The 15,524-nt window shown below is 52.5% G+C and overlaps 1 protein-coding gene across 1 annotated transcript in view, besides 1 other annotated feature; it reads left to right on the top strand.

Annotated features, from left to right (window-relative positions):
• Positions 8,817–9,570: an enhancer, noted in NCBI's record as "H3K4me1 hESC enhancer chr11:1145665-1146418 (GRCh37/hg19 assembly coordinates)". NCBI's record gives its function as "activates a minimal SCP1, AML or CMV promoter by ChIP-STARR-seq in primed H9 embryonic stem cells {active_cell/tissue: H9 hESC(primed)}" and the evidence as "EXISTENCE:reporter gene assay evidence [ECO:0000049][PMID:30033119]".
• The window catches only part of MUC5AC (mucin 5AC, oligomeric mucus/gel-forming), a 43,186-nt gene continuing 42,677 nt past the window's right edge, over positions 15,016–15,524 (top strand). The window contains exon 1 of the mRNA NM_001304359.2: positions 15,016–15,135. Within this exon, the coding sequence (NP_001291288.1) occupies positions 15,063–15,135 (73 nt within the window). The 5' untranslated portion in view covers positions 15,016–15,062. The remainder of the gene's footprint in view (positions 15,136–15,524) is intronic.

The following is a 15,524-nucleotide window of genomic DNA, read 5'->3' on the forward strand; positions in this document are numbered from 1 at the left end:
AAATTGAGGGACATAGCCAGGCATGGAGACATGCAACTGGGGTCCCAGCTTCTCAGGAGGTTGAGGTGGGAGCATCACTAGAGGCTAGGAGTTTGAATCTAGCCTGGGCAACATAGCAAGACCCTATCTCTGAAAAATAAAAATAAAAAAAATTAGAGAGATACAGTCAAAGCAGTGCTGAGGGAAATTTGTAGCAGTAACAGAACACACTAGAAAAAAGGATGAGTCAAGTCAGTAATCTATGCCACCCACTGAAGAAATGAGAAAAAGAAGCACAGGTTGCACACAGAGCAAACTGAAGGAAGGAAAGAGTAAAGACCTCAGTGAAACCGAAAGCAGGGAGACAGTGGCAGAAAGAAAAATACCAATAACACGGACAAGGCTCTAGCATTACAGCAAGAAACAAGAGCAAAGACACAAATGACCAAGGACAGGACTAAAACAGGAGCAATCACTACAGACCCTGCAGATATCATGAGGGTGACAAGGGGCTGTGGCACACAACTCTGCACACAGAACTTTGGCACCTTAGATGAAATATGCCAGTTCCTCAAAAAGCACAAGTGATCACAACTCAGCTAACACAAATAGATAACTGGGCAGCCCAATAAATGGTTGAGAACATTGAATTTATAATTTTAAACTCCAAAAGAAGAAATTCCGGGCTCAGATGAGTTCAGCGGTGAATTCTGTAAAAACTTTAAAGAAGAATTAACACCAATCATACATAATTCTTCCAGAATGTAGAAGAGGAGGGCGTCTGTATGACCCAGATACTGAAATCATACAGGCAGGAGAAAAACAAAGCAAATCCAAACCAGAACTATGGACCAACACCCCTCATGAAGATGGATACAGACTCTAACAAAATAACAGCAAAGAGAATTCAGTGCTATATGGAGCATTATCCATCTTAACCAAGAGGGATCTATTCCAGAAATGCAAGGTGGCCAGGTCAATATTTAAAAAATTAATGCAACCAGCCATATTAACAGGCCAAAGAAGAAAAATTGCACAAGCCTATCAATCAGAGCAGCAAAAACATTTGAAAAGACTCAACATTCATTCTTATAAATTCTCAAAAAATAAGAATACAGGGAATTTCCTCAATGAGATAGAGAACAGCTACAAAAAAAGGAAACCAAAAAGCAAAAACCACTCCTGCTAACATTGTACCTAATGGTGAAGGCTGAGTTCTTCCTGTCTGACACTGGGAGCACGGTGAGGGTGTCCCCTCTCATCGCTCTTATTCAACGTACTGCTGGGAGTTCTGCCAGTGCAATAAAGCAAGAAAAGGAAATAAAAGGCAATTCGTTTGGAAGAAATAAAGCCGTCCCTATTTTTAAGTGACATGATTGTCTATATAGAAAATTCCAAAGATACTGAAATTTAAAAAAATCCAAGACTAATGTCTGTGCAGAAAGGTCAAAGGATACAGGATAAACACACAACAATGAATAGTATTTCTATTTAGTAGCAATGACCATGACTTCATCGACTTTAAAAATATACCACCATTCTCAATCACGCAAATAACTTGAAACATGTAGGCGTAAATCTAACCAAACGTGGAGGACTTGTGTGCTTAAAACTACAAAATGCCGATGAAAGAAATCTTTCTTTTTTTTCATTTAGAATCCATTTTTATTCCCACAAACAGTTCTGAAAAATATTAGAATTGGCAAATGGTTTACCATGAATGGAAAAAAAAAACCCATTGATTTTCCTTTTTTCTTTTTTTTTGCTTAAATAATTTTATTATTTTTATTTTATTTTTCCATAAGTTACTGGGTTGTATTTGGGTATATGAGTAAGTTCTTTAGTGGTGATTTGTGAGATTTTGGTGCACCCATTACCTGAGCAGTATACACTGCACCATATTTTTTGTCTTTTATCCCTCACCCCCTCCCACTCTTCCCCCCAAGTCCCCAAAGTCCATTATATCATTCTTATGCCTTTGCATCCTCATAGCTTAGCTCCCGCATATCAGTGAGAACATATGATGTTTGGTTTTCCATTCCTGAGTGACTTCACTTAGAATAATAGTCTCCAATCTCATCCAGGTCACTGCAAAAGCTGTTAATTCATTCCATTTTATGACTGAGTAGTATTCCATCAGATCTATATCTATATGTATATCTATACCTATATCTATATCTATATACCATCACAGAGCAGGTAAACCTGTAGGGGTGCAAAACAGATATGTGGTGGCTGGAGACTGGGAGAGGGGACGGGGTTGGCTGTACAGGGCACGGGGGACCTCGTGGGGTGACCGAGCGACTGTCTCTGAGTGTGGTGATGGTTACCTGACTGTGTGTTCATCACAGCTCCCAGAACTGTAACCCTAACAGGAGTGGATCTTACTGTATGCAAATTATATCTTAATAAAAAATGAAAGATATATGTAAAGTTGATGTCGGAAAAAGTGCAGAGAAATTTTAAAAAGTTCAGTTATAGTATCTTACTCCATGACAGATAGAGTAGGCAAGAGGTGGAGAGAAGATTTGAATTATGTAATTAATAAGATTTATTTACACATTTATTTCAAACTTTGTTCTCTAATACAGATAATACTCCTTCATCTTAGGCATCCATAGAATAGTTACAAAAATTAATCTTTTTTACATGTATTTTTTATTTTCAAGGTATAATTTGCATACAGTAAAATTCACTCTTGTTAGTGTGTAATTCTGTCCAATTTGTTGTCTACGGAATTGGCTGCAGTTTTCTCTGGGGCCTAATGTGAGATTAATTTTTGTGGCTATGGTCTCTAACAAAATACAACTGAAAATTGATAACAAACATGTGAATAAGACAAAAGAGGCTGGGCACAGTGGTTCACGCCTGTAATCCCAGCACTTCGGGAGGCCGAGGCGGGCGGATCACGAGGTCAGGAGATCGAGACCATCCTGGCTAACACGGTGAAACCCTGTCTCTACTAAAAATACAAAAAATTAGGTGGGCGCGGTGGTGGGCGCCTGTAGTCCCAGCTACTCGGGAGGCTGAGGAAGGAGAATGGCATGAACTCGGGAGGCAGAGGTTGCAGTGAGCCGAGATCGGGCCACTGCACTCCAGCCTGGGCGACAGAGCGAGACTCCGTCTCAAAAAAAAAAAAAAAAAAAAAGACAAACAGCCTAAGCGGCTGGGGGTGGACACGGCAGGGCTGTCTCTGGCCTCTTTCCTGTCTCTGGCGTCTCTCCTCTCCCCTCCCCTGGACCCTCCTTATTCTGCAAAACGGGCCATGGGCACTTTCTGGGAAACGTCACTTTGCTCAAACCGTGTTTGCAGATCCAGGACCCCTTAAGAGATGTTACTTTGCATAAAGTGTTTGCCACTTAGGTTTTCCCTAAGGGATGTTATGTGTTTAAGCTGCCATTAAGGTGCAGAGTGGTAAACCTGTTACAGTCACGTGTGGTCCGCAATTGCCACCAAGACCATCCTGGCTGTGTGGAGCCGGGCTGCTGCCGTGGCAAAGGATCACAGCCCTGTGGCTGAGCACAGCACGCTCACGCCGTGCGGTCCGGGGGTGCCAAGTCTCCAGGGAGCTCGCAGGACTGCGTTCCTTCCAGAGGCTCCAGGGGAGGGTTCACGTCCTCGCCTCTTCCCGCTCTGGAGGCCGCGTCTCTTCCCCGGCGGACCGTCCTCTACCTGCAGAGCCATCGGGAGCCTCTGCTCTCCCCGACTGCCTCCCTCTCCTCCCGCTGTCTCTGTCTGCCTGACCTCTTTCTCTGACCCTCTTGCTTCTTTCACAAGAGCCCTTGTGGTTACTTCGGGCCCATCCAGATAATCCAGGACAACCTCCCCACCCAAGGCCCATCACTCTGTCCACCAGGTCCCTTCCCCCATGGCTCCAGGGTTTAGAATGCGGGCATCTCTGGGGCCATCATTCAGGCTAATGCTGTCAGTATATTAAAAACTGCATTTCTATATGCTAGCAACAAACTAGTAGAAAAGAGCATCAAAAAACTGCTACTGCCTAGAAATAAATTTAACAAAATGTCCCCATGACCTCTACACTAAAAACTGCAAAGAATTGCAGAAATTCAAAAGGACCAAAATATGTGGAGATGTATTAATATAGTTGAAGACTCAATATTGTTAAAATGTCATTTTCCTCCAAACTGATCGGTAAATTCAATCCCAATAAAAAATCCAGTTTTTTTTGGGTGGACATTGACAAGCGCCTTCTAAAATTTATACGGCCATGGAAAAGACCTGGGATAGCCATGACGATCTTGACGAAGCAGAAAAAAACATTTCCAAGACTTAGAATGAAGCTCTTAGTCGAGACGGAGTGACATTGATATAAACTTAGACATTCAGATTAATGAGACGAACTGAGAGCACAGAAATAGGCTGTCACCTGTACCGGGCAAACACACCGAGGAAAACCAAGAGTGCCAGTGTGTGTGTGTGTGTGTGTGTGTGTGTGTGTTCACAGGGTTATGTGTCTGTATGTGTATGTATTTGTAGGCTTGTGTATGTGTTTCTGTGTTTGTGTGTTTGCAGGGTTCTATATGTGTTTGCATGTGTGTGTATGCAGGTTGTGAGTATGTGCTTGCGTGTTTGTGTGTTTGAATGGTTGCATGTGTTTGCATGTGCGTGTGTTTGCAGGGTTCTGTGTGTGCACATCTGCTTGTTTGCATGTGTGTTTGCAGGGTTGTGTCTCTGTTTGCATGTGTGTGTGTTTGTGTATGTATTTGCAGGGTTGTGTGTGTGTCTGTTTGCATGTGTGTGTTTGCAGAGTTATGTATGTGTGTTTCCATGTTTGTGTGTTTGCAAGGTTCTGTGTGTGTTTGCATGTATGTGTATGCAGGTGTGTGTGGGCTTGTGTGTTTGCATGGTTGTGTGCGTGTTTGTGTGTGTGCTTGCATGTTGTGTGTGCTTTGTGTGTGTGCTTGCATGGTGTGTGTGCTTGATGTGTGTGTGCGCTTGTGTGTGTGTGTTTGCATGGTACGTGTGTGTGCTTGTGTGTGTGTTTGCATGGTATGTGTGTGTGCTTGCATAGTGTGTGTGTGCTTGCATTGTGTGTGTGTGCTTTGTGTGTGTGCTTACATGGTGTGTGTGTGCTTTGTGTGTGTGCTTGCATGGTGTGTGTGTGTGTTTGCATGGTGTGTATGTGCGTGTGTGTGTGTTTGCATGGCATGTGTGTGTGCTTGTGTGTGTGTGCTTGCATGGTGTGTGTGTGCCTGTGTGTGTGTGCTTGCGTGGTGTGTGTGTGTTTGCATGGCGTGTGTGTGTGCTTGTGTGTGTGTGCTTGCATGGCGTGTGTGTGTTTGCATGGTGTGTGTGTGCTTGCATGGCGTGTGTGCTTGTGTGTGTGTGCTTGCATGGTGTGTGTGTGTGTTTGCATGGTGTGTGTGCGCTTGTGTGTGTGTGTTTGCATGGTGTGTGTGTGCTTGCATGGTGTGTGTGTGCTTGTGTGTGTGTGTTTGCATGGTGTGTGTGCTTGTGTGTGTGTGTTTGCATGGTGTGTGTGTGTTTGTGTGTGTGTGTTTGCATGGAGTGTGTGTGTGTTTGCATGGTGTGTGTGTGTTTGCATGGTGTGTGTGCGCTTGTGTGTGTTGTTTGCATGGAGTGTGTGTGTGTTTGCATGGTGTGTGTGTGTGGACTGCTACTGCTGCCATGTCGCTGCAGTTCAATGGGTTTGTGCGTTGTGATCACACGGTCCTGCCCACAGAGCTGAATGGGCTATTGGGGTTTCCTTGGGTGAGTCCCAGGCTGTGTGTGGGGTGAGTGTGGGGCCTTTCTTGCACCGTTTAGCCTGGCACGCGTTGCCCTCTCTCTCTCTCCCAGGACCACATTCAGGTGCCAGGGCCTTTAATCCTGTGTCCCTTGTCCTACTTACTCCCTCTCCCCAGACTGTGGGACAGGCACCTGGGGCGCACTGTGGGGGCTCTGAGATGCAGGTGGGTGGGCCAGGCCTGCCGAGGGGAGGTGAGGCGAGCAGAGCCCTTTGAGGGTGATGGAGCTTGGCTGGCCCCATGGCCCGAACCCACCTGGCCTAGGGGCGTGGCTCAGAGCAGGTGCACACAGGGCTTATTCACCTGTGCATTCTTCAAACAGTCCAGGTGTGAGTGTGAGGCTGTGAACACACCGGGGGTGTGTCTGCCAGGTGGGGCCCTGGACGGGGTGGCCCCCAGCACCTCTGGGTTTCCAGCCCCCAAAAGTGGGTGTCTCTGGGCCCACCTGCTCCTGGAGCTGGGCTCGCACTGACCCTGGGAAGACAGCCTCCCCTGGGCATTTTGGGGACGCTGGGCCCAGCCCATGCCTCGTGGCTCAGCTTCCCTCAGCCAATACTTTCGAGACATGTATTTCGAGACATCCCTGGAGACATGGCCAGTATATTTGTATTTTATATGAACCCGGAAGGCTGGACCTGAAGAGGCCCCCTGGGTGAGGGGGCCAGGCTGAGCTCGAGTTCCCCAGGGCCTCCAGCAAGAAAGGCACCCAATGCCTCCTTACAGGAGGAGCAGGCGCATGTCCACAGAAGATCTGAAAAGACCCCATCAAAATATTCGTGGGTGTCTTCTCAAGACGAGGGGGGCAATTTTCGCTTTACATTTTGTTCCAATTTTTTATTGTTGTAAAAAACACATAACATAAAGTTGACGTTTTTTGCCACTGCTGGGTGCACAGTGCAGTGCTGTTAGGACATTCACACTGCCGTGCGGCCCGCAGAGCCACCATCTCCAGAACATCTTCGTCTTGCAGAACTGAAGCTCTGTCTTGTTAAACACCAGGTCCCCACTCCCCGTGCCCAGCCCCTGCCCAGCCCTGGCGGCCACCATCTGCTTTCTGTGTGTGTGGATTTGGCGGCCCCAGCCGCTGGTGTAGTGGAACCACGTGGCGTTTGCCCTTCCGTGGATGGCTTGTCTCTCCAAGCCAATGTCCTTGGATCCGCCTACACTGCCGCCTATGCCAGGGCCTCCTTCCTTTTGGGGGCTGCTTGGTGCTCCCCGGCACAATGGGCCTCACCTTGTTTTCCCCCAGATTCGTGGACAGACACCAGGCTGCTTCCACCTCTTGGCTGTGGTCAACAAGACTGCTGACCCTGCTTTCAATTCTTTGTGATTTTGCACTGAGAAAAATACCTTTTAAATGCACGGTCAGAATTTGGTGGACGACACCCCACCCTGCGTATGCATTTGGTGGACGCCCCACCCTGCGCATGCATTTGGTGGACGCCCCACCCTGCGTATGCATTTGGTGGATGACGCCCCACCCTGTGTTGATGCCCCTCTGTCCTCCCAGGGGTCAGAGGTGCTAACCTGTGCCCCAATGCCCTGGTTGGTCTGGGCCCCTGGAAACCACAGCGAGGGCAGCACGCTCTGGCTGGTCCTCTCCCCGAGGCCGACCCGGATGGGGATCCATGGTGCACATGGCCTGGCAGGGCCCCCCATCAGGGAGGGGCAGCATGTGCACAGTGGAGCAGGGGGGCAGGGGACTAGCCGGCAGCATCCCCTGACTCTCATGGGCCTTTGGGGCTACCAAGGTCAGGGGAGGGGCCCAGGAAACTGGCTGGGCGATGGACTGAAGGGGATCTGGGGTCCACAGATCTGCCCCAGAATCTGTGATCCCCTGAGTCTCCAGCCCCAAATTACTCACAGGTGCATGTGCACTCAGGGGCCCTGCTGAAGGTGCCTGGGGTTCAGGAGATGTGAGGGCAATAGGGGAACCAGAGGCATGGGGGCCGAGGGGTGGGGGGAGGGGGATGAGGAGGCCGGGGCTCCCAGGAGCTGAACTGGACCCAGGCACAGGGGAGCCCCCAGCATGGAGCATCGCCACCCGCCCGCCCGCCCGGGAAGATGAAGATGGAAGCAGGTGCAGATGAACGGCTCTGCCACATGGGAGGCCCATGGAGCCGACAGCCACTCCTGGGGGTCAGTGTGGCCCTTGCTGTGGACACGGGTGCAAGGAACTGACGCTTTGGCCAGAACCGTGGGCCTTGGGGGCCAGAGCTCCAGTAGCCCAGGCCACATCTTGGGAGGAATTCTGTTTGTCCAGTGATTCAGAGAAAATAAATAAACGTAGGAAGGCTCCAGATCACGCAGCCCTGCCACAAAATCAAATTTACTCTGCCCCCTCCCTGCCCAGAGGGCCCAGCAGGGTCTCAGCTCCCTCTGGGCAAGGGCCACCCAACCCCGCCATGGGTACGTCCGCCACAGCTCTCCCTCGGGCCCCCTGGTAAAGTCGGGAAGAAATTTAAGCCTCCTTCCTCCTTATTGTGTAAGTTCCTGGCTTGGTAAAAATCTGCTGCCGAAGCCTGCTCTTTCTGTCAACAGCCGCTGATAATTCATGTGTCAGTTTCCCAGTCCCACCCAGGGTGCCTCCCCTTCCAAAGCCGGAGCGTATCCTGGTCCCAGCGCTGAGAAACTCTATTGTCTTTCTGTGAAATCATTCTCCAATTCCCACACGAAGCCCTAATCAGGCTTCCTGATTCTGCCACGTCCCCCAGAACATGGGCTGTCAGAGGCCCGGCCAGGGGCTGTCCTGGACCCCACGGCCCACCCCGGCCTTGGCGAGACTGAGGGTCACAGGTGCTAAGCTACCATCATTTTCTGAACCACCAGGCATGAGAGAGGCTATGTTCAGAGCATGGAAGTGGCAGAAATGGCAGAACATGGTGGCTCCACCCCGTTTTGTGGATGAGGACACAGGCACTTTGCAGGCCCCCAGTGGTCCCAAGTCTAGGAGGAGGGTGGGGCGGGCTGGCACTGAGCTCACCTCTGGACCCAGCATGCCTGGGCACTGTGGAGATGCATGGCTGGGTTCCTCCTAGGGGACCTAGCATGCCTGGACGCTGTGGGGGTGCATGGCTGGGTTCCTCCTAGGGCAGCAGGGCTCTGAGCAGCGGGCTTTAAATGAGCCATTTAACAGATGGTACAGGAGGGTAATGCACGGGCTCAGGGCCCCACAGCGGGAGCTGCTGGAGTCCTACGCCACCCCCCGCCTGGAAGGGAAGATGTCTGCTCCACAGAGCCCTGGGGTCTCCTGTGGGCAGGGTGTGTGGAGCTGCCCTCCCCTGGTCTCCCCAGGACAGACCCCCACCCTCCACCCCAGGTGCCTTAGGGTAGGCGTGGCCTCCCCAGGTCCTGCCAGCCAGAGCCAGGCTGACCCCAGCGGCCCTGCAGGTCACCTCCTAGGGGCTGTGCCCGGAAACTGGGATGGAAGCGACAGGCTGGGGGCAGAGTGTGAGCCCAGCCCAGGGCTTGCGATGTTGAAACCAGTGCTTCCCTCCCCTGCTCACCTGGCCAGTAACCACCGGGCTGGGGTGTCCTGGCTGGGCTCAGGCCGGGCTGGGGGCCTCTCCTGATGCTGCTGGAGGGCAGACTGGGCCAGGTGCCCCCAACAGTGTGCGCTCGGCCTGGTGGGGCTGAGAAACCTGGAACATACACACCTGTGGGGGTGTCTAAGGGGCTCCCAGGGAGTTCTGGGGGGTCCTGGGGAGCAGGACCCTCTTCACTCCCTCCTCCAGGGGAAGTGGCCCTGGGGCACCCCAGGCTGTTCCCCCAGCTCTGTGGGGCCGAAGCCATCCACAGGGGGCTTTCCCCACCGGATGTGGTGCGGGCCGTGGTTAATCTCACTTGAGTTAGTCACCCAGGACAAACAGCTAACCGACACAATTCCTCCCAAGTCCAGGGGGCCGGAGGCGGGGTCAGCACCTGGCGGCAGGAGACAGTGCTGCCCTGGGATGTGGCCGGGCCTCCCTCCATTCCCAATCCTGTTGTCTCTGTGGCAATACCTGGCTGGGAGCTCCTATCAGGCCCGTGACCCCCGCCCTTTCTCCAGTGCCCTCCTGTCTGCATTCACCTGTCAGATCCCGAGGAGAGAGGGGCACTGGCGGCCGCCCAGGACCAGAGCTGTGGGGCCTCCCGCACCAGAGTGCAGTGAAGGTTTGTGGGCTGCGGTCCCGGCGGAGCCCACGTGCCACCCCCATGCACAGCTTTCCTCCTGCACATCCCACAGAAGCAAAAGCTCCCACCTGCCCGGCACTGTCCCCGCCCTGGGGACCCTCCTGCAAACACTTTCCAGATGACAGGCAGCTGCTGGTCCCAGGCACACACCTTCCCTGAAGGTGCCTCTCACCTGAGGGTGCAGGTTCAAGTCAGGAGGGTGGACTCCTGCCCGGTGGGGTCATCACCCTTCTCAGGGGCTGAGGCAGGGTCTGCTTTAGGGGTTGCGCCTGCTTTTCAGACACCGGCCCCCAGGCCCCTGCTGCAGCCCCACCCGGACCGCATGCGCAGCCGTGCCCGCTAAGTGGTCGGCGCTGCGGGCAGGGTGGCCGGGGCATCAGGGTTCCGAGATGCAAGTGCTGGGCTTGGCTACCACGGGGGGTCGGGAGCTCACGGGGGAAGAGTGATCCTGATTTTGAGGCCAAGTCGCTGGTCTTACACCTGTCCTGGCTGCCGGTCTCAGAGCTGACACCGGCCCCAGGCTGGGGGAAGGTATCCAGCCGGCCTGGCCAGGGCCCCTGCTGGGAGGCAGCAGGAGGAGTTATTGTGCTGGATGGGGGTTGGGAGCTGAGGGGACTGGAGATGGCATGGAGCCCTCCGGTGGGTGGGACTCCCGGGCATATGCTGAGAGCTTTAGGCCTCAGGGAGGGTTCCCAGGAGGCAGGTGGCTGCGCCACGGCTCGGCCAGCCCTGCCTGCACCCTCTGAGAGCCCCCAGCAAGGCTGCAGTGACCACCTCAGATTCCCCTCTGAGGCCTGTGGCGTGGCCGGGACCTCACTGCCCCTGGGGACACACAGAAAATGCCCACAGGGCTCAGAAACAAGGCCCAGTGGGTTTTCTGGAAAGTTCTGGGTGTGTGGAGCCTGGGGCTGTAGGCTCTGGAACTGTAGGCACTGGCTTCAGGCCTCCTGAGGCCTCGGCCTGGTGGGGTTTTCATGGGACCAGGTGGTCAGCCCGTGGCCCATGCCCAGGGGTTTTGGGTGCCTGAGCCCAGGCCCCAAGAGGAAGCCCAGCACAGCCAGGGGTCACCAACACTGGTGGGGGGAAGTCACCCCAGCTGGACCCCAGCAGCGGCCCTGGGTGACGTCTGGCTGAGGGAGGAGAAAGCTGTGGCTGGGGCGGCAAGGCCTGGGTGGCCAGTTGGCCAGGTGCCCCGGGGCTTGGCCCAGCCTCAGACACGCAGGGGGCACTCCCCTCTGAGGGCCACGCTGGTGACTCAGACTGTTCAGAGGTCACGGTATGGACTGGGCCAGTGACTCAGGCCTGTCCTCTGTTGGGGGCTGGACACTGACTCACCCACTGCCTCCTGTCTATCTGAGGGCGTAAGGAGGGCAGGCCTTCAGGCACTCACATGCGGCCCTGGCCAGGGTCCCGGTCACACCTGCAGACCCTCAAGCCCTTCCCTATGCCCCACTGACATAACCACCTGGCCCTGGGATCTGGTCCCACCGCGGGGCCCATTGTCCACTACCAGGACCCTCCTCTGCCTTCATCAGCACCAGGCGACCTGGTGTCCACTCCTGGGCCAGGGCAGGGGAACCCTGGCTACACCTGGTCGAGTCAGACCTCCTGAAGCACCAGTGGCTGGGGTGGTCCACCCTAACCCTGTCAGCCGCTCAGCCTTAAATGTGATCACTCGCTCAGTCAGTCGCCACCCACTCACTCACTCACCCACTCACTTATTCACTCACTCACCCACTCACTTATTCACCCATTCACTCATTCATTCACCCATTCACTCACTCACTTATTCACTCACTCTCTCACTCATTCATTAATTCGCCCATTCACTCACACTTTCACTCACTCACTTATTCACTCATACACTCATTCACTTATTTACTCACTCATTCACTCACTCATTAATTCACCCATTCACTCACTCACTTATTCACTCATAGACTCATACACTCACTCATTCACTCACGCATCCACTCATTCACTCACTCATTTACCCACTCACTCACTCACCCACTCACTTATTCACTCACTCACCCACTCACTTATTCACCCATTCACTCATTCATTCACCCATTCACTCACTCACTTATTCACTCACTCTCTCACTCATTCATTAATTCGCCCATTCACTCACACTTTCACTCACTCACTTATTCACTCATACACTCATTCACTTATTTACTCACTCATTCACTCACTCATTAATTCACCCATTCACTCACTCACTTATTCACTCATAGACTCATACACTCACTCATTCACTCACGCATCCACTCATTCACTCACTCATTTACCCACTCATTCACTCATTCACTCACTCACTCATTTATTCACCCATTCACTCACTCATTCATTCACTCACTCACTGACTCATTGACTCATTCCCTCACTCATTCACCCATTCACTTACTCATTCACTCACCCATTTATTCACTCACTCACTCATTTACTCATTCATTCACCCATTCACTCACTCACTGACTCATTGACTCATTCACTCATTCACCCATTCACTTACTCACTCACTCATTTACTCACTCATTCATTCATTGACTCATTAACTCATTCACTCTCTCATTCACTCACTCACTGACTCATTAACTCATTCACTCTCTCATGCATCCACTCATTCACTCACTCACTGACTCACTCATTCACTCACTCATTGACTCACTCATTTGGTTATTCACTCATTCACTCACTCACTGACTCATTCACTCACTCATTCACTGCTCACTTATTCACTCTTTCACTATCTCTTTCATTCACATTCATTCATTAACTCAGTCACTCACTCATTCACTCTCACTCATTCACTTACTCATTCACTCATTCACTCATCTATTCATTCACTCATTCACTCACTCATTCATTCACCCATTCACTCATTCATTCACCCATTCACTCACTCACTTATTCACTCATAGACTCATACACTCACTCACTCATTGACTCACTCACTCATTCACTCATGCATCCACTCATTCACTCACTCATTTACTCACTCACTCACTCATTCATTCACCCATTCACTCAATCATTCATTCACTCACTCACTGACTCATTGACTCATTCCCTCACTCATTCACCCATTCACTTATTCATTCACTCACCCATTTATTCACTCACTCACTCATTTACTCATTCATTCACCCATTCACTCACTCATTCACTCACTCACTAACTCATTGACTCATTCACTCACTCATTCCCCCTTCACTTACTCACTAACTTATTTACTCACTCATTCACTCACTCATTCATTGACTCATTAACTCATTCACTCTTTCACTCACTCACTGACTCATTCACTCATTCACTCACTCATTCACTCACTCACCCACTCATTGACTCACTCATTCACTTATTCACTCATTCACTCACTCACTGACTCATTCACTCATTCACTGCTTGCTTATTCACTCTTTCACTATCTCTCTCATTCACATTTATTCATTAACTCAGTCACTCACTCATTCACTCTCTCATTCACTTACTCATTTACTCACTCATTTACTCATTCACTCTCTCATTCACTTACTCATTTACTCACTCATTTACTCACTCACTCACCTGTTCACTCACTCGCTCACTCATTCACATTCATTTTAACTCACTCATTTACTCATAGACTCACTCATTTATCCACTTACTTATTCATTACCTCATTCATTCACTCACTCAATCATTTTCCCTTTCCCCACACTCCTGCCACATGTGAAGTGCTCTTTCTCTAGGCACCTGGGCTAAGACAGGACATGGGGAGGGAAAGGCACAGAAATGGAGAAGTAGGCAATCATAAAGAGCTTGGGACGGGTCCCTAGAGAGCTGGAAGCAAGTGCTCAGAACAGCCTTGAGGCACCTCTTCAACCCTAACCCCTCTGCAGCAGGACAAAGGGCCCAGCCCAGCCTCTCCCTTTCCTGCCATTCCTCCCATGGGAGACCTTCTGGTTGGACGCTCCACATGGGCAGTGGAGCAGCCGACCTTGGCTGGGGAGTGTGTGGCTGCCTGGGAGGGAGAGTCTAGCCACAGTGTCCAGCCACACACCTGTGGTCTGGGCAAGTGTTCATCACACAACAGCACCTTCTCAGCCAGAGCCCTTCAGGCCAAAGACTCACTGGGACCTTTCTGTGCTGGGACTGCTCGGACCAGTCAACAGCTTCCTGTCCAGAGGGTACTGAGCATTTCTGGATCTTGGTGGCCAGAGACCATCAAGTGACTTGAACTGGCCCTGCCCGCCTGGGGTCAGGAGACAGAAGCACAGGTGGACTCCTGGGCAATGCTGGGAGGGGGCTGCATGGTGAGGGAGGGGTTCTATCATTTGCCTGGAGGCTGCTGCCAGGAGCCCCTCTCCAGGGAGGGTGAGGCTGGCTGGCGCTACTTCAGTGGCAGCATGTGGCTGGCCTGAGGGACGCCTTGGCTCACTCACTCCTCAATCACTCATTTACTCATTCATTCACTCACTCAATCATTTTTCCTTTCGCCACACTCCTGCCGCATGTGCTCTCTCTCTAGGCATCCGGGTAAGACAAGACATGGGGAGTAAAAGGCACAGAAATGGAGAAATAGGTGACCATAAGGAGCTTTGGATGGGGCTGGGGCTGGCCTCTCCCTCCCAGGCAGCCACACATTCCCCAGCCAAGGTCGGCAGCTCCACTGCCCATGTGGAGGGTCCAACCAGGAGGTCGGCCATGGGAGGAATGGCAGGAAAGGGAAAGGCTGGGCTGGGCCCCCTGTCCTGCTGCAGAGGGATTAGTGTCAAAGAGGTGCCTTAAGGCTGTTCTGAGCACTCACTTCTGGGCACCAGGAACTCACAGGCTGCTGGGCATGGCACGGTGCCCAGGGAGAGTCTAGGGTGGGGTATGTGGGGAGGACCCCTGCAGGCCAGGGCTTGGGGGGGCCCTCGGAAACTGGGCTCTATCCGGCAGACACACCCATCTCCGCCTGCCACCGGCCGCTGGCCAGCCCGCAGTGAGCACCCACTGTTTACTTGGGTGAGGGGGAACCACAGGCCCCGCCCTGCCCACCCACGTGAAGCACGGGGCTGGAGCCAGCTCTGGGGCTACAAAAAGCTCCTGCCACCTTGGGTCCCTCCTCAGAGGCTGCTGAGGGACAGGGCACTCTTCCCCGCCGTCCACACAATGAGTGTTGGCCGGAGGAAGCTGGCCCTGCTCTGGGCCCTGGCTCTCGCTCTGGCCTGCACCCGGCATACAGGTACGGCTTGGCCCCTGGCCGCTCTACTGGTCCTGGGTGGTGCGGTACTGAGTGGGCCTCAGGCAGCTCAGTCTTTGCCCTGGGTTCCGGGCAGGCTGCATGTGCCATGAACGGCTCCCAGCAGCATAGCCCCTGACTGTGGCCTGGCCACGAACGAGCAGTTTCCCCTTGTGGGGTTGGGAAGGGATCTCTGGGCTTCGCGGACCTCTGAGGCTGGGCCATTCCCTGAGGCAGGGAAGTAGGAGCTCAGATCTCGGGCTTTCCCTCCCGGCCCGGATCCCTGCACCTGTCCCCAGAAGCCGACAGCACCTGGCCCACAGTATCTCCAGCTGCTCATGGCCCCTGCTGGGCCTGGTCGGGGCATTAGCCCCAGGCACCTGCCCTTGCAC

Source organism: Homo sapiens, chromosome 11, assembly GCF_000001405.40.
Source record: "Homo sapiens chromosome 11, GRCh38.p14 Primary Assembly".
Lineage (NCBI taxonomy): Eukaryota > Metazoa > Chordata > Mammalia > Primates > Hominidae > Homo > Homo sapiens.